This window comes from Homo sapiens, chromosome 6 (genome assembly GCF_000001405.40).
Source record: "Homo sapiens chromosome 6, GRCh38.p14 Primary Assembly".
NCBI classification, from domain to species: domain Eukaryota; kingdom Metazoa; phylum Chordata; class Mammalia; order Primates; family Hominidae; genus Homo; species Homo sapiens.
Window position 1 is genome coordinate 63424052 of NC_000006.12, and position 21400 is coordinate 63445451.

At 42.5% G+C, this 21400-nt stretch overlaps 1 protein-coding gene and 1 pseudogene across 3 annotated transcripts in view; one reads left to right on the forward strand and one right to left on the reverse strand.

The window, feature by feature from the left end:
• The window catches only part of LGSN (lengsin, lens protein with glutamine synthetase domain), a 297657-nt gene that overhangs the window by 148101 nt on the left and 128156 nt on the right, over window positions 1–21400 (reverse strand). Inside the window, exon 2 of one of the 3 annotated variants that reach the window (XM_047418866.1) lies at window positions 19629–19707. The gene's annotated coding sequence lies outside the window, so the exon portion shown is untranslated. Of the gene's footprint in view, window positions 1–17252; window positions 18299–19628; window positions 19708–21400 lie in introns of those variants that run through there. The other 2 variants (XM_017010930.3, XM_011535892.4) reach the window with 2 other exon arrangements.
• On the forward strand, window positions 17167–19862 carry LOC642554 (leucine rich repeat containing 59 pseudogene; annotated as a pseudogene).

Consider the following 21400-nt stretch of genomic DNA (forward strand, 5'->3'; position numbering starts at 1 on the left):
AAAGAAAGAAAGAAAAACTGAGTAAAATTCTAGCAATACTGACAAAGAAAATAAGAAAGAAGGCACATATTACCAATATCAGAAATAGGGGATATCACTACAGACATCAAAACTATAATAGGGAGCACTACAAACAACTGTATACATATAAATTTGAAATCTAGATAAAATGAATAAATTCCTCAAAAATAAAATAAAATAAATAAACTACCAAAACTCATCCAATATGAAAAGGATCACTTGAGTCTCCCTATAACCATTAAGGAAATTGAATTCATAATTTTAAGACTCTCATAAAAGAAATCTCCAGGCCTAGATATTTTCACTGGAGAATTCTACCAAATATTTCAAGAAGAATTTACACTGATTCTACACAATATCTTCCAGAAAATCAAAGAGTAAGGAACCCTTCCCAGTTTATTTTATAATGCTAGTATTGTCCTGAAACCAAAACCAGACACACACACACACACACACACACACACACATACAAAACAGTGAAATCTATAAACCAGTACTTGCAGAATACATATCCAAGAAAGGACTAATAACTAGAATATAAAAAGAGCTCTCAAAATTCACCAGTAAAAGCCAGGCACAGTGGCTCACACTTGTAATTCCAGAACTTTGGAATGAGGATTTCTTGAGGCCATGAGTTGAAGACCACCCTAGGCAATATAGTGAAACCCATCTCTACAAAAAGTTTAAAAATTAGTCAGGCATGGTGCTGCGTGCCTGTAGTCCTAGTTGTTTAGGAGGCTGAGGTGGGAGGATCTCTTGAGTGCAGGAGTTCAAGGCTGCAGTGAGCTGTGATGTGCCACTGCACTCCAGCCTGGGCAAAAGAGTTAGACCCTATCTCCATAAAAAAAGAAAAAGAAAAAAAATTCACCAGTAGAAAAATAAACAATTCAATTCCAGAATGGATAAAAGACATAAGACATTCTACTGATGGCTATAAGCACATGGAAAGATGTTCAACATGATTACCAATCAGGGAATTACGGATTAAAGCACAATGAGATATCACTACATACCTATCAGAATGGCTACAATGAAAAATGGTGACACTAAATGCCAGCAAGAATATGGAGAAACTGTATCACTCACAGAAGGCTATTGAGAATGTTAAATGGTAGTCTCTGCAGAAGCAGTTTGACAGTTTCTTAAAAAGCTAAACATGCAACTACTGTACAACCCAGCAACTGTATCCCTAGGCACTTATCCCAAAGACATAAAGACCAATGTTCATGCAAAAACCTGTACATGAATGCTTATAGCAGCTTTAATTCATTATAGCTAAAATCTGGAAACAATCCAGCTACCTTTCACTGGGTGAATGGATTAAACAAATTTTGGTAAGTTCATGCCATGGAATACTACTCTGAAATAAAAAAAAGACTGGACATTCATACATGCCACAACTTAAATGAATCTCCAGATAATACTACTTAGTGGGGAAAAAAGCTAATCCCAAAAGGTTACATACTGATTCCATTCATATAACATTCTTGAAATGAAAAAACTATAGAAATGGAGAATAAATCAGTTGTCGAAGTTAGGGAGCGGGGGAAGGGAGAAGGGAAGTAGGTATACATAAAAGGCAACACAAGAGATCCTGGTGGTGACAGAAATATACTGGATCTTGGTGGGTGGCTGATGGCTGTAAACCCAGCACTTTGGGAGGCTGGGGCAGGAGGATTGCTTCAGTCCAAAAATTCAAGACAAGCCTGGGCAACATAGTGAGACCCCACCTGTATAAAAATAAAAACAATAAAAAGAAATATACTGTATCTTGACTATATTAATTCCAATATCTCAGTTGTATTATATAAATAGTTATATTATATATGTGTATATACTCAGTTATATTATAGTTTTGCAAGGCACTACCATTGGAGGAAACTCGGTAAAGGGTACACAAGATCTGTCTCTGTATTATTCCTTACAACTGCAGGTAAATCTAAAATTACTCAATATTAAAAATGGAATTTAAAAACTTTTTTTTTAATGCAAGGGAAAGGACCACAATTCTCAGAAACTTGACATGATAAGAAAATACTTGAAAAGGTGGCAGTGCCTTCAGGTCATTGACTGTGATAGCACACATTTTTCCAAATTATGAAGAGTGGTGGTTGTTTCACACTGTATTTCATAAAAGATATTAACTTCCTAGCATCCAAGTTTTATGATCCTTAGAGATTTGCTTTTCCCTTTGGAATTCTGCAATTCTAATATAAATTAAATTTAAGCTGATCCAACTGGGAGTTGCTAAACTCCATAAACGCAATTATAGTCTAAAGAGATGCTATAAAATTGATATTAGAACTATGCAACCCTCAACTACTTCCCGCCCTCTACCAACTTCATATACACACACAAACGAAGTGTTTGCCATTTTTCCTTGTGCCTGAGTGTAACCCAGGTAACTGTAGGCTGCATAAAGTTATTTAGATTTATTTATTTATTTATTTATTTATTTTTGAGACAGAGTCTCGCTCTGTTGCCCAGGCTAGAGTGCAATGGCACAATCCCAGCTCACTGCAACCTCCACCTCCCAGGTTCAAGTAATTCTCATGTCTCAGCCTCCTGAGTAACTGGGACTACAGGTGTGGTGCCAATATGCCTGGCTAATTTTTGTATTTCAGTAGAGACAGGATTTTGCCATGTTGGCCAGGCTGGTCTTGAACTCTTAGCCTCAAGTAATCAACCTGCCTTGGCCTCCTAAAGCACTGGGATTACAGGTGTGAGCCACCACACTTGGCCCAGGTATTGGTTTTAAATTTTCCTTTATTAAGTGTATGTCAAGAACAAACTATTTTCTTGACATTCTGAATGACTGTGGCATAAAACAGCTCATAAAATCAATGTGTCCTGTCTTTTCATCCTTGATATCTTGGACACAACTAATGTCCTTTTATATTCATATGGCAATTCAGGACAATCAAATAAATAATTAACTAATGACTGACACCCGGAAATTTACAGACCTTTCCCTTTTTTTTTTTTTTTCTCCTGAGACAGAGTTTCTGTTCTTGTTACCCAGGAGTACAATGGCGCAATCTCGGCTCACTGCAACCACCACCTCCCAGGTTCAGCAATTCTCCTGCCTCAGCCTCCCAAGTAGCTGGGAGTACAGCCATGTGCCACCACACCTGGCTAATTTTGTATTTTTAGTAGAGATGGGGTTACACCATGTTGGCCAGGCTGGTCTTGAACTCTTGACCTCAGGTGATCCACCCACATCGTCCTCCCAAAGTGCTGGGATTACAGGCATAAGCCCCCATGCCCGGCCTCCCTCTTTTTCATAGTTACTTTTTCCACCCGAGATAATAAACATCATGGTCATTGCTATACCTCAAACTCGTATTTTTCCTTACTCAGGTGCTGGAAAACTAAAAATATAAGCCGAGGCAGATTATAGGAGAAAAAATAGGCTATTCCTGATCTGCCCTCACAATATAAAGTGTCTCAGTACAGATTCTCAATTTTTTAATGTGCTAATTTGAAATGTTTGGAAAACAAATACACAGCATAAAAATAGTTCACAGTAGTTTGCCAGTCAAATCAGTTCTCTTCAGTTTATACTCTCTAAGCCTTTTCCCAGCAATTCAGAGGTTTTATGGTGACTAAATTATTATAAATCTGTTTTCTCCTTGTGGGTAGTTTAGTTAAAATAAGATTATGAACAGGGACGCTGTCTTCTTGTGACCAGAGAACTATTATCATAATCAAATTACCAAAATGTTAAATATACTCTGGCTCCCTCAAAACTCTGCTCACATCTAAGAATCAATCTAAGATAATCAGTTTACATAAAATTGTAGCCAACACTAGAAACCCATTTTCTTCAAGTTATTGATTTAAAAAAAAATCTATTAATAGGCACCTAATTATCTATATATCCCAGTATTCAAAAAAATAACACAATAAATCTAGCATAATTATTTTAATTCAATATATAATTAAATTACGCTGTTTTTATCACAAAAGTAAATTGTCATTAAAAATAAAACAGCTATATTTGTGATTTTCCTCATGCTGAGAGCAACATTCCAGTTGCTGTAGGTGTTTATTTTCTTCTAACCAAACACTACTATTAATAACACCTCATAAAAATAAAACGTTTGCACAATAAAGCAGGTTCCCCAACCTACCTTCTTCCCTACTAAAATGCTGCTTGTGTTCCAGTTTGCATCCTCCTCCTTATTTAAGTAAAGCTACTTTTAGTTTTGTGGCTGGAATATAAGGTATTTATTTTCAGAACTGGACAAATGAATGAATACAGGCATAATTATTTATTATTTATTTATTTATTTTTGAGATGGGGTCTCACTCTGTCACCCAGGCTGGAGTGCCATGGCGCGATCTTGGCTCACAGCAACCTCCGCCTCCTAGGTTCAAGCAACTCTCCTGCCTCAGCCTCCCGAGTAGCTGGGACTACAGACGTGCACCACCATGCCCAGCTAATTTTGTATTTTTAGTAGAGACGGGGTTTCACCATGTTGACCAGGCTGGTCTCGAACTCCTGACCTCAAGTGATCCACCCGCCTTGGCCTCCCAACATGTTGGGATAACAGGCATGAGCCACCGCACCCGACCAGGCATAATTCTTTTAAATGAGCAGGACATTCCAGCACAGCCTTCACAACAACTTCTAGATAGACAATCTTGTGACCCAGAACTAGCTTGCAAATTAGGTGCTCCCATTTCTTCATTCACATCCAAAGAAATGTCCTCAAAGATTCATGGCTCATAGAGAAGTCAGGATCCCTGATGTTTCAGCTCTCATAAGATGAAATTTTCTCTAAGAAACTATGATGGAGAAAATTGTTCATTAAGAAAATTATAGCAGCTGGGCATGGTGGTGCACACCTATAGTCCCAGCTACTCAGGAGGCTGAGGTATTCCTGAGCTACCCAGGAGTTTGAGGCCAGCCTGGGCAGCATAGCAAGACCCCATCTCTTAAAAAGAAAAAATTACAGCAAATTCTTGACCTCAAAACCAAGTCTTTGCTAGACATTACATGAGGCTTCAGCAGTTAAGCAGTCAGAGAAAAGCATGGTCCCATTAGCACAAAGTCTGCAGTCTAACTGAAGACAATTAACAAGCAGGTATTACAAGTGGGAAAAGTGTGACAAAATTAGTAACAATAAGGTATTTGGATGTAAGTCTCACTTTTTTAAATATTGGGACTATATGAACCCAGATGCCATATTTTTACTTCCTTCATTGATAAAATCCTTTCCTCTCACTATTTTGGCTATTTTTTAATAAGAGATTTTATTGTATCTCCTCAGAACAAATATAAACAAAATCTATGAAAGAACTATGCTATATTATATATGAATTGGACCAGCCGAAAGTATACAGACTCAAACATTTCTTAAAAATCAAGAAATCTGGGCCAGGTGTGGTGGCTCACGCCTGTAATCCCAGCACTTTGGGAGGCTGAGGCAGGCAAATCACTTGAGGTCAGGAGTTCGAGACGAGCCTGGCCAGCACGGTGAAACCCCATCTCTACTAAAATCACAAAAATTAGCCGAGTGTGGTCGCGGGCGCCTGTAATTCCAGCTACTCAGGCAGCTGAGGCAGGAGAATCGCTTGAACCCAGTAGGTAGAGTTAGTGGTTGCAGTGAGCTGAGATTGTGCCACTGAACTCCATGGACAGAGCAAGACTCCATCTCAAAAAAAAAAAAAAAAAGTCTGAAGACAGGGATTACAGGAGCTGACTCAACTGCTCAACAAGGCCACTAGAGACCCAAGCTCCTCCTATCATTCTGCTCCAACACACTTGGCATGTTGTCCTTTGCCTTCATGCCTATTGCCTCATGATTGCAATATAGTTGCTGTTCAGGTCATCACATCCTCATTCATGGACGGAAGGAAAGGAGGAATAAAGGGAACTGTTCATCCATACCTGACAGCTTTCAACAGGAAAGCCAAAATTTCCCGGAAATGCCTATAACAGACTTCTCCCTACATCTTATTGATCAGAATGATGTCAGATGGTGAGCTTCTTTGCCTTATGGCTTCTGGTCAGGTCAAACAAGAGATGTGAAAAAAGATTGGAGGGTGTGTGTTGAGTGAAATCAGGGAATTTCTTCCTTGTTCCTTCCCATTGTCCCATTTCAGCAGAATTCTGGGACTGGTTATGTCCTCCATCACTACAGCTTCTTCTAGACACCCTTCTCCAAAGCTCCAGCCTCTCTGGGCTCTGGTAACATTCCATCTCTTGCTTTGTCAGGCCTTGGGGTGAGAACAGCTGGTCTCTGGGTGCTTCATTGATATCTTTAACCCTGCCACATCTCCATAAGTGGATTCATCATTAAAATCTTTTATTTTATTTTATTTATTTTAGACAGAGTCTTGCTCTGTCTCTCAAGCTGAAGTGAAGTGGTACAATCTTGGCTCACTGCAACCTCCGTCTCGTAGGTTCAAGCAATTCTTCTGCCTCAGACTCCTGAGTGGCTGGGATTACAGGCATGCACCACCACACCTGGTCAATTGTTGTATTTTTAGTAGAGATGGGATTTCACCATGTGGCTAGGCTGGTCTCAAACTCCTGGCCTCAAGTGATTCGCTTGCCACGGCCTCTGAAAGTGTTGGGATTACAGGCATGAACCACTGCATCCAGCCTAAAATCGTTTAAATTTATCATCGGAGTGAAATCGTGTTCCCTGCCAAGAGTCCAACAAATACATATAGAATTTTAAATGCAAAGGAGTTAGAAAATCAGACAACAGGGGAGCCATGTCAATGTGAACAAACTATGATCCACTGCCCGAGGTCAGACACATTGCCATCCTGAACAAATGTATGATTAAGTTAAAGATATGGGTATTTGGTGGGTGCCTTGTCTACCACATATGATTTATAATTAAGAGCTGTTTAAAAAGCAACCTGAATGATCATGTATTATTCATTTTGTTATTGCCTTCAACTAACTCAGTGCCTGGCAAAATATGTCTACTAGTGAGTAAATAATACCTTACTCTTCTAAAACTTTGTAGTCTACAAAGTGCTTTGATATACATTATCCCATTTGATCTTCACAAATAACCCTGTGAGCCCTATGAGTAAGGCAACACCAGCATTTTCATCCCCATTTTACAGATTCATAATCAGAAGTTGAGAGACAATAACTACCTTGCCTTGAGTCACCAAATTATTAAGTAGTAGAACTAGAAAGTAAAGCCAGGTTTTCTGACTCCACATTCAGGCCGTTCAAAGCCAAGCCTTGGCCAATGTACCTGACTGGGTTCAGTACACAAAGCCAAAACCTGAGTGTTGGTTGGGGCCAGGCAGAAGAGAAAGAGCATTGTATTTCACAGTACCTCTGATCCCCAGATGTTGACATCTATCAGCAGAGAGAATGGAGGACTTCTACGTGTTTCCCATTGAAGAAACAAATTCTGCTTCCAACTGCAGCAGTTAAGAGCATGAGTTTTGAAGTCATATAAATATGAAGTGGAATTCTAGCCTTACCACTTACTAGTTGTATGACCTTGGCAAATTACTTAATCCCCATGAGCTTTATTTTTCCATTCTGTAAAATATAGATATTAAGTATCTTTCTTATGAAATTGCCAAAATTTTTAAATTAGATCATTTATGTTAAGTGATTAGTTTTAACTAAATGTAACATCTTACATTCCTGATTATTATGACTGTAAATTATCTTGGATTCTGCAACAAACTTTCAGAAGTTTTGAATTTCATTAAGAAACAGCATTGGCCGGGTGCAGTGGCTCATGCCTGTAATCCCAACACTTTGGGAGGCTGAGGCAGGCGAATCACTTGAGGTCAGGATTTCAAGACCAGCCAGCCCAACATGTTATAAACCCGACTCTACTGAAAAAAAAAAAAATGCAAAAATTAGTTGGGCGTGGTGGTGGGCACCTATGGTCCCAGCTACTCGGGAGGCTGAGGCAGGAGAATCACTTGAACCCAGGAGGGGGAGGTTGCAGTGAGCAAAGATCATGCCACTGCACTCAGCCTGGGTGACAGAGTAAGACTCCATCTCGAAAGAAAAAGAAGGAAAGAAAGAAAGAAAGAAAGAAAGAAAGAAAGAAAGAAAGAAAGAAAGAAAGAAAGAAAGAAAGAAAGAAAGAAAGAAAGAAAAGGAAAGAAAGAAAAGAAAAGAAAAGAAAAGAAAAGAAAAGAAAAGAAAAGAAACAGCATTAATGTAGCACACAGAATGCCAGTAAGTTTATCAAACAACTCCCAGATAGAAATAAACCTCAAAAGTTACCTGCAATTTCCAATTTCCATGCCTTCTGTTCATTCACAAGATCCTGGTAACTGACATTTATATAGATAGGGCTGCTATGTGTCAGGTGTCAGAAATAAATTTTTCTAGGCTGAGCGTGGTGGCTCATGCCTGTAATCCCAGCACTTCGGGAGGCAGAGGCAGGTGGATCACCAGATCAGGAGATCGAGACCATCCTGGCTAACATAGTGAAACCCCGACTCTACTAAAAATACAAAAAAATTAGCCAGGCGTGGTGGTGGGCGCCTGTAGTCCCAGCTACTCGGGAGGCTGAGGCAGGAGAATGGCATGAACCCGGGAGGCAGAGCTTGCAGTGAGCCGAGATCGCACCACTGCACTGGAGCCTGGGCAACAGAGCAAAACTCTGTCTCGAAAAAAAAAAAAGAAAAAGAAATAAATTTTTCTCCACAGAGTTTTCTAGAAAAATTTTACTGGGACTTAGGTTAAAGAACAGCCTTAAACCCAAAAGATTACTGAATAGATAGTAAAAGATTTACCTCCCCAGAGGTACATGTTTACACTTCTAGGAAAAGATGAGACCCAAAGCCATAATGACATTCCAGGAGTTGTAAACCTAAAGACATTTGTCTTATCTTCCCTTGGAGACAGGTACTTACATTTGAAAAGATAAAAATCTATGCTCTTTACCCTTCTATTCCAAAGAGAACTTCTTTATTGTAAGGAGCAAAAGTATCTCTCCCTTTCTCAAATAATGAAGGGACATCTCTTTCCTTTATAAGCTCCAAGATTCGTACTTCTAGGGCTTCTCTCCTATGGTAAAATCCAAACACCCCCATGTATAAGCCTGTCCATCTGGCTCTTTTATCATCGCAGAAGGGGGAAAGTTGGGGGGGTGGTAAATAACAAATAAAATTATTGCTCTAAATAATAATAATCAGCCTCTGTCCCAGAAACTTCCTGTCTACTTTCAGGATAATACAAATAGAGTAATCAAATACTTAGCAACAGACAATATCTTAAGGGCTTTAGATGAATTAACTCATTTATTTCTTATAGCTATACTATGTTAATTACTTCTATTTTTCTTCTTTTAAGACAGGGACACTGAAGCACAGAGATACCAAGTTGCCTAAAGTCTCCCAACTAATAAATAGCAGAGGCAGGATTTGAACCCAGGAAGTCTCACTCCAAAATCTGTGCTCTAAATATGATTGCATGCTGCCTGTAACCAGTAATCTTTCTCATTGAATATCTGTGATTCACAGTGAACTAGTATTCAATGTGTCTCATAACTAGAAGTATCTTATTCAATCACATCCAACTACTACTTTTGCCAATTGAAATAATTTTATAAGGAACTTCTGCCTGGTTGTAGATATACACACAGACATTTAAGGCTTAATATAAAACACTCTCTCTTCAAAGTAATTCTACCAGTTCTGCTTAGAATAAGTGCATATAGGCCATGAGTATTCATGTGTTGATGGCCATAGACGAACGGATAGACTAATTTGAGAATCCCCTTTTCTGCTACTTTAAGACAAAATTGTCTCTAATATTTAAACAGTTTTAAGTATTTTGAGTAAAAAAGTTGTATACTTTCCCATCCAGCTCTCCCTGTGGAGGAACCTCTGTGTATCCAGTCATGGGACTAGCAGGTACCAAATGGAACAACTGAGCAGAGTTCAATAAAACATTTTTTTACAAAGGAGTAGGCAGTGTTAAGAGAAACAAAGGCTGGTGCATCTCCCTGGGACCAAGAACAACTAGGAACCATTACCACACTTTAGTCTGAAAGGTCAGAGAGAGTTACTAGAATCCACCAAGAAAAGCTGTAGTTGTCACAGAGGGCTGCCCCCTCAGAAGTTGTGACCTGGCTGGGCGCAGTGGCTCACGTCTGTAATCCCAGCATTTTGGGAGGCTGATGTGGGCAGATGACCTGAGGTCAGGAGTCCGAGCCCAGCCTGGCCAACATGGTGAAACTCCGTCCCTACTAAAAATACAAAAAATTAGCCAGACATGGTGGTGGGCGCCTGTGATCCCAGCTACTCTGGAGGCTGAGGCAGGAGACTTACTTGAACCCAGGAGGTGGAGGTTGCAGTGAGCCGAGATCGCACCACTGCACTCTAGCCTAAGCAACAGAGCAAGACTCCATCTCAAAAAAAAAAAAAAAAAAGAAGAAGTTGTGACCTTTGGGCCAGGTGCCGTGGCTCACGTCTGTAATCCCAGCACTTTGTGAGGCCAAAGCTGTCATATCACCTGAGGTCAGGAGTTCGAGAACAGCCTGGCCAACATGGTGAAACCCTGTCTCTACTAAAAATTCAAAAAAAAAAAAAAAAAAAAGAAAGAAAGAAAGAAGTTATGACCTTTAGCAGAGAGACAAAACTAATGAGTGGCAACCCAACAAAAAGGAAGCTGGAGCAGTAAATACCCAAAACCCATTCCCCTCTCATGATCAGATCTCCACAGGTGCCTCCCATTGGCCAAGCCCAACCTGAAACCAGAGGGGAAGACAGCCTTTGGGAAAGTTTATAGAAGTCAGCCTCTCAGGAAAACAGCGCACAGTGAAGAAAGAGGAAAGGTACATCATGAGAAACAGAAAATATCAAGCACCCTCTGGGTTAAAAGAGTTCCATAGGAGCTTTTCCCTGTTCTCTCTTCTTTGCCAAAGAAACTTTTCTCCTTAAAAAAGCAGTTTTCACATTCATTAGCTACATGTATTCAGGAGCAATATGTACGCAATTAAGGGTTTCTCTGCTATCAGCAGCAATAACAAAATTATCATGTGCCTCGAGCCATTTTATCAAGGACAGAAAGCCCTGACCCACCACGGAGATGCCATCTGAGTCAGAGGACATTGGCTGTGCAGGTGCAGATACAAGAAGATAAGTGTGGCATCAAAGGAACACAGCCTGAGGCCAGCCAAGATTAGACAACAAAATGAGATTTATAGAGAAACTTAACTCTTTTCAGATCAACCTTGTTCAGCCAAAGAGAAGATTCCATTAAGGCTTAAGGACAGAGAAAATTGAAGTTTACTGAGCACCAATTCTGTCAAGTTTTGCATGTGTTAATCCATTTTAATACAAACTATAAAACTTCTATATAAAAGCTAGTTGTTATTTTTGTATCCTTAGCACATGTGATAAAAGATGTTTGATGAATACTAATGGTGCTAAGTAAAGTTATAGAAAGAACTGAATGGTCGCATCTCTCAGCTTCCACCTTTGCCCCTCACCCACCCACCCACAAGGTCTGCTATCCATAAAACAGATGAAATAATTCTTTTAAAATATGTCAGATCGTGTGACTTCTCTGCTTAAAAATATCTAATAATTCCTTATTTTATTTTCAATAAAATCCAAATCCTACCAGGTCAACAAAGCCTTATCAGAATTTTCCAAACCATGAATCATGGCTCATTTATGGGTCATGAAATTAATTTAGTGGGTCGCACTCAGTATCTTCTTAAAAATAAAATCGAATTGAATATTTAATATTGAATTGAATAAAAAATATTAGAATGCATAGCAAATAAAAATGGTAAATGTTTCACGAAAGTTTTCTTTCAGTTTTAAGAATATGTATGTGATTATAGTATAAAGTATTTGAGTCATCATCCAAATTAAAAAAAAAAAAAAAAAAAGAAAAACCACTATTCCCACTTCCTAACTTCATCACTAATCTCTGTCCTCTGGCTCACTCTGCTCCAGCCATACTGCTCTTTTTTGTGTTTTTTTAAATCCTTGACTGGAACATTTTCCTCCAAAACCCACAAAGTTCACACCTTACTTTCTTTAAGTTCAAATGTCATATTCCCTGGAAGAACATTGCTGACCACCTCATGTAAAGTAGCCCTACCACCATCTTCATTCTCTTTTTTCCTTATATCACTTTATTTTTCTTCAGAACTTTTATTAGCAAATGAAATACTATGTACTTCTGTCTCTCTACTAAACTGTAAACTTTATGAGAGCAGCCCGGCTAATTTTTGTATTTTTATAGAGACGGGTTTTCACCATGTTGGCCAGCCTGGTTTCAATCTCCTGACCTCAGGTGATCCACCCACCTCACCTCTTAAAGTGCTGGGATTATAGGCATGAGCCACTGCGCCTGGCCAAAATGTTTCTTTTCTAAAACAATCATATAGCATTGGTTATTAACAAGACATTACCTCAAAATCAACTGTTTTCAAAATAAATGAATGGGTTCACTTCATTTGCAAGTACTGTGGCTGTGGTGACCAGGAACCCTCCACCCCCAGCTTTGCTACATGTTTACCCTCCTACATTGCCTTCATAGAACCCTGCCTGTCCTTGAAAACGAGAAGGCAATTGCCACCATTCCCCAGACAGCAAGGCTCAGAATTAACACAAAGGCAGAGAGTGAATTGTCCCAGATTAAGAACACACTCATTGGGTTTGGACACCCAAGAATTCCACAGTTTTGAAGAAAAGAAAGATATTCTTAGAGGCTGGGCAGAGTGGCTCATGCCTGTAATCCCAACACTTTGGGAGGCTGAGGCAGGTGGATTGCTTTAGCTCAGAAGTTTGAGACCAGCCTGAGCGAAATGGTGAAACCCCATCTCTACCAAAAATACAAAAAAATAGCTGGGCATGGTGGTATGCACCTGTAATCCCAGCTACTCGGGAGGCTGAGGCAGGAGAATCACTTGAACCCAGGAGGTGTAGGTTGCAGTGAGCCAAGATCACACCACTGCACTCCAGCCTGGGCAACAGAGCAAGGCTCTGTCAAAAAAGAAAGAAAAGGGAAGGGAGGGGAAGGGAAGGGGAGGGGAGGGGAAGGGAAGGGAGGGAAGGGAGAAGGAAAAGAAAGGGAGAAGGAAAAGAAAGAAAGGAGAAAGAAAGAGAGAGAAGGGAGGGAGGGAGGGAAGGAGGGAAGGAGGGAGGGAGGGAGACAGAAAGAGAGGAAAGGGAAAGGGAAAGGGAATGAAAGGAAAGGAACTGCACCAAAATACCATTTTTTTTTTCGCCAAATTGTCGGAGATCTAAACATTTGCTACCTCATTATTCATGACTGAACCTGATACCTGTCTCCCTGCAGACTGGCGCTTCTTGCTCTCTATTGCTTTGCACTCCCCACAGTACTATTTCTTTCTTTCTGGTTTTATTGTTTTTTGTTTTGTTTTTGTTTTTTTGAGACAGAGTCTCACTCTCTCGCCCAGGATGGGCCACTGTGCCGGCCTTAATAAATGTTTCTTGAATTGACTCTAGTGAAGAAAAGGAACTCAAAGCCCTGTTAATTGTAGAAGCCATAGCAGGATTCTATAATGATTGCTGGAGTCAAAATGTATTTGCTGAAATTCCAGAAATCCTAAAAGCATTTTTCCTCTCATAAGAATTAGTACAGGCTGGGCACAGTGGTTCACGCCTGTAATCCCAGCACTTTGGGAGGCTGAGGCGGGCGGATTTGAGGTCAGGAGTTCGAGACCAGCCTAGCCAACATAGTGAAACCCTGTCTCTACTGAAAATACAAAAATGAGCCAGGTGTGGTGGTGGGCACCTGTAATCCCAGCTACTTGGGAGGCTGAGGCAGGAGAATCCCTTGAGCTCCGGAGGCGGAGGTTGCAGTGAGTCGAGATCACGCCACTGCATTCCAGCCTTGGTGACAGAGTGAGACTATCTCAAAAAATATATATATATAGTACAATAACCTACTTATCTCTCCCAAATTTAGTCTCTCTCCGTACTCTAATCTCTGTCCACACTGCCATGAAAATTACTTTTTGAAATCTCACAGTTCATTAGGTCTACATTGTACTAAAGACTATTTGGCATTTCTTACACGGTATGAGTATATATGTATATAATTCAAAAGAAACTATTTTTGGCCAGGTGCGGTGGCTCATGCCTGTAATCCCCACACTTTGGGAGGCCAAGGTGGGTGGATCACTTGAGGTCAAGAGTTTGAGACCAGCCTGACCTACACGGTGAAACTGTCTCTACAAAAAACACAAAAATCTAGGCATTACCATTCAGGACATAGGCATGGGTAAGGACTTCATGTCTAAAACACCAAAAGCAATGGCAACAAAAGCCAAAATTGACAAATGGGATCTAATTAAACTAAAGAGCTTCTGCACAGTAAAAGAAACTACCATCAGAGTGAACAGGCAACCTACAGAATGGGAGAAAATTTTTGCAACCTACTCATCTGACTAAGGGCTAATATCCAGAATCTACAATGAACTCAAACAAATTTACAAGAAAAAAACAAACAACCCCATCAAAAAGTGGGCGAAGGACATGAACAGACACTTCTCAAAAGAAGACATTTATGCAGCCAAAAAACACATGAAAAAATGCTCATCATCACTGGCCATCAGAGAAATGCAAATCAAAACCACAATGAGATACCATCTCACACCAGTTAGAATGCCAATCATTAAAAAGTCAGGAAACAACAGGTGCTGGAGAGGATGTGGAGAAATAGGAACACTTTACACTGTTGGTGGGACTGTAAACTAGTTCAACCCTTGTGGAATTCAGTGTAGCAATTCCTCAGGGATCTAGAACTAGAAATACCATTTGACCTAGCCATCCCATTACTGGGTATATACCCAAAGGACTATAAATCATGCTGCTATAAAGACACATGCACACGTATGTTTATTGTGGCATTATTCACAATAGCAAAGACTTGGGACCAACACAAATGTCCAACAATGATAGACTGGATTAAGAAAATGTGGCACATATACACCATGGAATACTATGCAGCCATCAAAAATGATGAGTTCATATCCTTTGTAGGGACATGGATGAAATTGGAAATCATCATTCTCAGTAAACTATCGCAAGAACAAAAAACCAAACACCGCATATTCTCACTCATAGGTGGGAATTGAACAATGAGAACACATGGACACAGGAAGGGGAACATCACACTCTGGGGACTGTTGTGGGGTGGGGGCAGTGGGGAGGGATAGCATTAGGAGATATACCTATAGCTAAATGACGAGTTAATGGGTGCAGCACACCAGCATGGCACGTGTATACATATGTTAACTAACCTGCATATTGTGCACATGTACCCTAAAACTTAAAGTATAATAATAATACAATTAAAAATAATAATAATTAAAAAAACACAAAAATTAGCCAGGCGTGGTGGCGTGAGCCCATAATCCCAGCTACCGGGAGGTGGAGGTTGCAGTGATCCCAGATCGTGCCACTGCACTCCGGCCTGGGCGACAGAGTGTGATTCTGTCTCATTAAAAAAAAAAAAATTTTTTTAAATTTCATGCCTGTAAAATAAAGTCTGAAGTATGGGACAGGAGGTCATTTTACATTCTTGTTCCAAACAGTCTTTCCAGGCACATCTCCTGCCACTGCCTTCCAACCACTCTTGTCCTCCACCTCTTCTCAATTCTAATTCCCCCCATCTATTTTCTTTCCCAGACTAAATATGCATGTTCACTTCTCTAGTTCTTTGGAATTCCCTCTGGTAGAAAAGCTCTCCCTTTAAGTCCCACCCCACTGCATCATTTGTCAAAGCTCTACTCTTCTTTAAGGTCCAATTCAGATATCGAACCTTCTCTCTATATACACATACTCCAATGTGGTCAGAATTTATTATCCATTCTTTTATGTTTCTATAGCCCTTCATTTATACATCTCTTCTAGCTTTGAAATCTCTGCCTTTTTGTTCATTGTGCTTATTTTTCATTTATTCAACATTCATTCAAAAAATATTTATTGTCTACTATATTCCAGGTGCTGGTATCTGTTTTAAAAAGACAAACATAGGTTCCTCCACCACTAAAACAGTCTTCTAAGTCCTCATGGAGTTCAGATTCTACTTGTAAGTTCTGAGTTTTTTGTATGTCAGTATTGATAGGGACAGCAGACAGCCAAGGGACCCTGGGGAAACCCTGGCTGCCTTCAAGCCTAAAACCAGACTGCTGGTCCCGGATGAAGGCTGCCCTTTCCTGACTGATTCTCCCTGCATAATGCCCACCTACGCCCTGGGAGGACGGGGTGGAGCCTCGCGAAGTTCAGGCCGTTTGTAGGTGGAGGAGCCTGGCCTCCTCAGTTCCTGTGTGGTGACTTGGCATTCAATCTGTGAGGCAGGAAACCTGCTATCAGGACTCTTTCTCACTTTGCTGAGAATTCCTCTTTCCTTTTTTTCTCTTCACCGAATAAACCCTATAATGTGTCTGTCTGCCTAAATTTTCCTGATCGTGTATTGAGAACCCGGTTTTTCTACAATAGTATCACCTTCCCCAGTACCAAACAATTTCCTTCCTGTATAGAGCAGGCACTCTACAGCTATGACTGCCTGTTTCTCCTTTCCCTAGATATCCATTTGTCTAAAATTAACAAGGTGTAGGCACCAGAGGCGACAGAGGGCTCAGGTGTGGTGGGTTGGGTGGGGGCCCGCTGAACTGACCAGCGGCATTTCAGCTCATTTACCCCCACCCATCAAAACCCTGGAGCCAGGTCCGTTCAGCCGACCGTCACCATGACCAACGCAGATAGCGAGGGCGGAAACCTCCGCCACCAGCTGGACAGCAACAAACAGGACCTGAGCCTCAGCAACCTGGATGAAGACCCGGTCAAGGAGCTGGCTGCCCTTCCAAAGACTACCACACTGGATCTGTCTTGTAATAAATGACTATTGTGCCGGGCACGGTGGCTCACGCCTGTAATCCCAACACTTTGAGAGGCCGAGGAGGACGGATCACCTGAGGTCAGAAGTTCAAGACCAGCCTGACCAACACGGAGAAACCCTGTCTCTACTAAAATACAAAAAAAATTTGCCAGGCGTGGTGGTGCATGCCTGTAATTCCAGCTACTCGGGAGGCTGAGGCAGGAGAATCGCTCTAACCTGGGAGGCCGAGGTTGCAGTGAGCCGAGATTGCGCATTGCACTCCAGCCTGGGCAACAAGAGTGAAACTCCATCTCAAAAAAATAAATAATGACTATTCTCCCGTCGGATTTCTGTGGCCTCACACACCTGGCGAAGCTAGACCTTAGAAAGAACAAGCCGCAGCACCCACCAGCAGACTTGGGCCGTTTGGTCAACCTCCAGCACCTGGCTCTCCTCAACAACAGGCTGGTCACCTTGTCGTCAGCTTTGCTCAGCTGAAGAACCTGAAGTGGCTGGACCTGAAGAATAACCTCTGGATCCCGGCCTGGCCAAGGTGGCAGGTGATTGCTTGGGTGAGAAGCCATGGAAACAGCATGCAAACAAGGCATCACAACACATGAAGGCTGTACAGACAGACCACAAGTGGGAGAGGCAGCAGGGTTGGAAGTAGAACGAGAGGCAGAGAAGTATGAGGCAAAGCAGCGAGCTAAGGAAGCTCAGGAGAGGAAATGCGGAAGCGGGAGAAGGCAGAGGAGAAAGAGTGCCAGAGAAAGGAGTATGATGCCCTCAAAGCAGCCAAGCGGGAGCAGATCATACCTACCAAGGAAACAAATTAGGCCCCCAAATCTAAGTCCGAATCCTGCCCCTGCAAGCCACTCCCCCGGAAGCACACTCGTTTCTGGGCTGTGCTGAAACTGCTGCTGCTGCTGCTTTGTGCAGCGGGGGCGCTGGTTGCTTGTCAGGTGACACAGCTACAGCAGCTGCCCCTTTGTGTCCGGAATAATGGGTTCTTGGTCTTGCTGACTTCCAGAATGAAGCTGCGGACCCTCGCGGTGAGTGTTACAGTTCTTAAAGATGGTGTGTCCAGAGTTTGTGCTTTCAGATGTTCAGATGCGTCCGGAGTTTCTTCCTTCTGGTGGGTTTGTGGTCTCACTGACTTAAGAAGTGAGGCGCAGACCTTTGCTGTGAGTGTTACAGCTCTTAAAGACAGCGCATCTGGAGTTGTTTGTTCCTCATGTCCGGAGTTGTTGGTCCCTCCCAATGCGTTTGTTCGTCCCTCCCAATGCGTTTGTTCGTAGTCTCACTGGCTTCAGGAGTGAAGATGCAGACCTTCACGGTGAGTGTTATAGCTCATAAAGGCGGCGTAGACCCAAAGAGTGAGCAGCAGTAAGATTTATTGCAAACAGAGAAAGAACAAAGCTTCCACAGCACAAAAGGGGACCTGACCGGGTTGCTGCTGCTAGCTCGGGCAGCCTGCTTTTATTCCCTTATCTGGCCCCACCCACATCCTGATGATTCGTCCATTTTACAGAGAGCTGATTGGTCCGTTTTGACAGGGTCCTGATTGGTGCATTTACAATCCCTGACCTAGACACAGAGTGCTGATTGGTATACTTACAATCCTCTAGCTAGACATAAAAGTTCTCCAAGTCCCCACTAGATTAGCTAGACACAGAGCACTGATTGGTGTGTTTACAAACCTTGAGCTAGACACAGAGTGCTGACTGGTACGTTTACAAACCTTGAGCTAGACACAGAGTGCTGATTGCTGCATTTACAAACCTTGAGCTAGACACAGAGTGCTGATTGCTGCATTTACAATCCTTTAGCTAGCCATAAAAGTTCTCCAAGTCCCCACCAGATTAGCTAGATACAGAGTGCTGATTGGTGCATCCACAAACCCCGAGCTAGACACAGAGTGCTGATTGGTGCATATACAATCCTCCAGCTAGACATAAAAGTTCTCCAAATCCCCACCCAACTCAGGAGCCCAGCTGGCTTCGCCTAGTGGATCCCACGCCAGGACCACGGGTGGAGCTGCCCACCAGTCACCCACCCACACTCCTCAACCCTTGGCGATGGGACCAGGCACTGTGGAGCAGGCGGCGGTGCCCGTCAGGGAGGCTCGGACCATGTGGGAGCCCACCGCGTGGGGGCTCAGGCATGGCAGGCTGCAGGTCCTGAGCCCTGCCCCATGGGGAGGTGGCTGAGGCCTGGTAAGAATTCAAGCCGGGTGCGGACAAGCCAGCAGTGCTGGGGGACCCGGTGCCCCCTCCACAGCTACTGGCCCGGATGCTAAGCCCCTCATTGCCCAGCGCCAGTGGCGCTGGCAGGCTGCTCTGAGTGCGGGGCCTGCCGAGCCCGCGCCCACCTGGAACTGGTGCTGGCCCGCGAGCACGCAGCCCTGGTTGCCACCCGCGCCTCTCCTTCCACACCTCCCTGCACGCAAAGGGAGCCAGCTCCAGCTTCTGCCAGCCCAGAGAGGGGTTCCCACAGTGCAGCGGTGGGCTGAAGGGCTCCTCAAGTGCGGCCAGAGCAGATGCCAAGGCCGAGGAGGCACCAAGAGCAAGTGAGGGCTGCTAGCACATTGTCACCTCTCACCTTTGCACCAGCGTGAACACCATCTGTGACAATGTGGTCCAGGGTCTGCACCACCATGAGATCCTCCAGACCGACTCTCAGCAGTGAGCTTGTCCCCAGCACCTGCTGCCTCCCAGCCTTGGAGCTTGGATTCCTATGGAATTGGGCTCTGCTGGACACAAACTCTTTTTAGCATCAGACCTACCTGCCATCATCAAATGGCTGCTGATTGGTACTTGAGACCTCCTCTTTGTAGGACTTCTTCATTCCTTAGTCAGGGTTTCCTGGTGGAATGAGGAGAAATGGGAGGTGGTGGGGGACAGTTACCTGCATGCCTAAAGGAATAGGCTTGGGGGTGGGGAGAAAGAAAACATAGCCATTTCTAGTTGTTACACAAAGCTGTGTAAAGGCTCATTTCTACTAAATGGTCAGCTGTCACCAAAAAAAAAAAAAAGTGTCATGAGACCTTTATGAAACATGCCAATAGGGTATGGGAATTATCTAACTATTTTGAAGGAATCTAAGTAATTAAACAAAAAATGCCACTGTCCTAACTAATAGCAGTTAACCAACTCATAATAGGAGTCACCCAGAGAATTTTTTATCATCTAGAAGTAATGGCTTGTTTCATTACTGGATGATGATGCCTCTCGAGTCTTTATTATGCACCAGGCACTGTCTGAGAGCTTTCAGTATTCACTCATTTAATCTTCTCAACAACTCTAAGTAGTATGTTATCTCTTTTTCAAAAAAAAAATAGATATGGAAACAGAAAGATGAGTTAAATTCTTTGCCCAAGATAACAAAACTGGCAAGGGATGGAGCTGGCATTTGAACTCAGGGAGGCTAGCTTCAAATTCTGTGTTCTCCACTACACATTAATGATGTAGACAGTGAAAATCTTTCCCAATGTGTGATAGACTAAAATCATTGATAGATGATTACTAATGCAAGAAGACTGTTACACAAGTGGTTGTAATTTCTGTTGGGCTCTTTATATGTAAGGAATAGAGATGTATTCTGTTTATTCAAAGTAGTGTAACATGAGGAAGGATAGCAATATAAGTTAACACATACACGGAACTCAGGGAAAGCAGGAATCACTTAGAATCTGCCTCATAGAGCCAGAAACTAGAAGGCCATTCAGATTTTTAAACTTCCCTAGGGACCTGAGAAGCAGGACTTTATGAATTTTTCTTACTCTAACATTCCACCGTTAACATATCTGCTCCTGTCTGACCCCTTCTTTTACTGTTATCAACTGGTTTTCTTTTCATTCTTCTCAGTTAAATCCCTGAGAAGAATCTGGTTGAATCAGCACAAAAATACTTAGATGGAGCCTTTTTTCCCAGGCCCACTCCTGAAGAACTAGCATGCCATGGCTGACTGTGCTTGAGTCCAATTCCCTCTGTAGCCAACCAACGAAAGGCTGGAAGGAGGGAAAGGACAAGGTCACTTTGTCCAAAACAGTTGAGCTGATGCAAGGTCTGGGCATGGGTAGCTTCCATGGAAAAGTGCCATTTGCAGGGCAGACACTCTTGTATAAGAATCTCATAGCCTGGCGCGGTGGCTTTTGCCTGAATCCCAGCACTTTGGAAGGCCGAGGTGGGCGGATCACCTGAGGTCAGGAGTTCGAGACCAGCCTGACCAACGTGGTGAAACTCCATCTCTACAAAAAATGCAAAAATTAGCTGGGTGTGGTGGCAGGTGCCTGTAATCCCAGCTACTCAGGAGGCTGAGGCAGGAGAATCACTTGAAGCTGGGAGGTAGAGGTTGCAATGAGCAGAGATCGCGTCATTGCACTCCATCCAGGGTGACAGAGGGAGACTCCGTCTCAAAAAAATAAAAATAATCTCATGCTGGTCAGGCACGGTGGCTCACGCCTGTAATCTCAGCACTTTGGGAGGCCAAGGCGGGCAGATCACTTGAGGTCAGGAGCTCGCGACCAGCCTGGCCAACATGGTGAAACCCCATCTC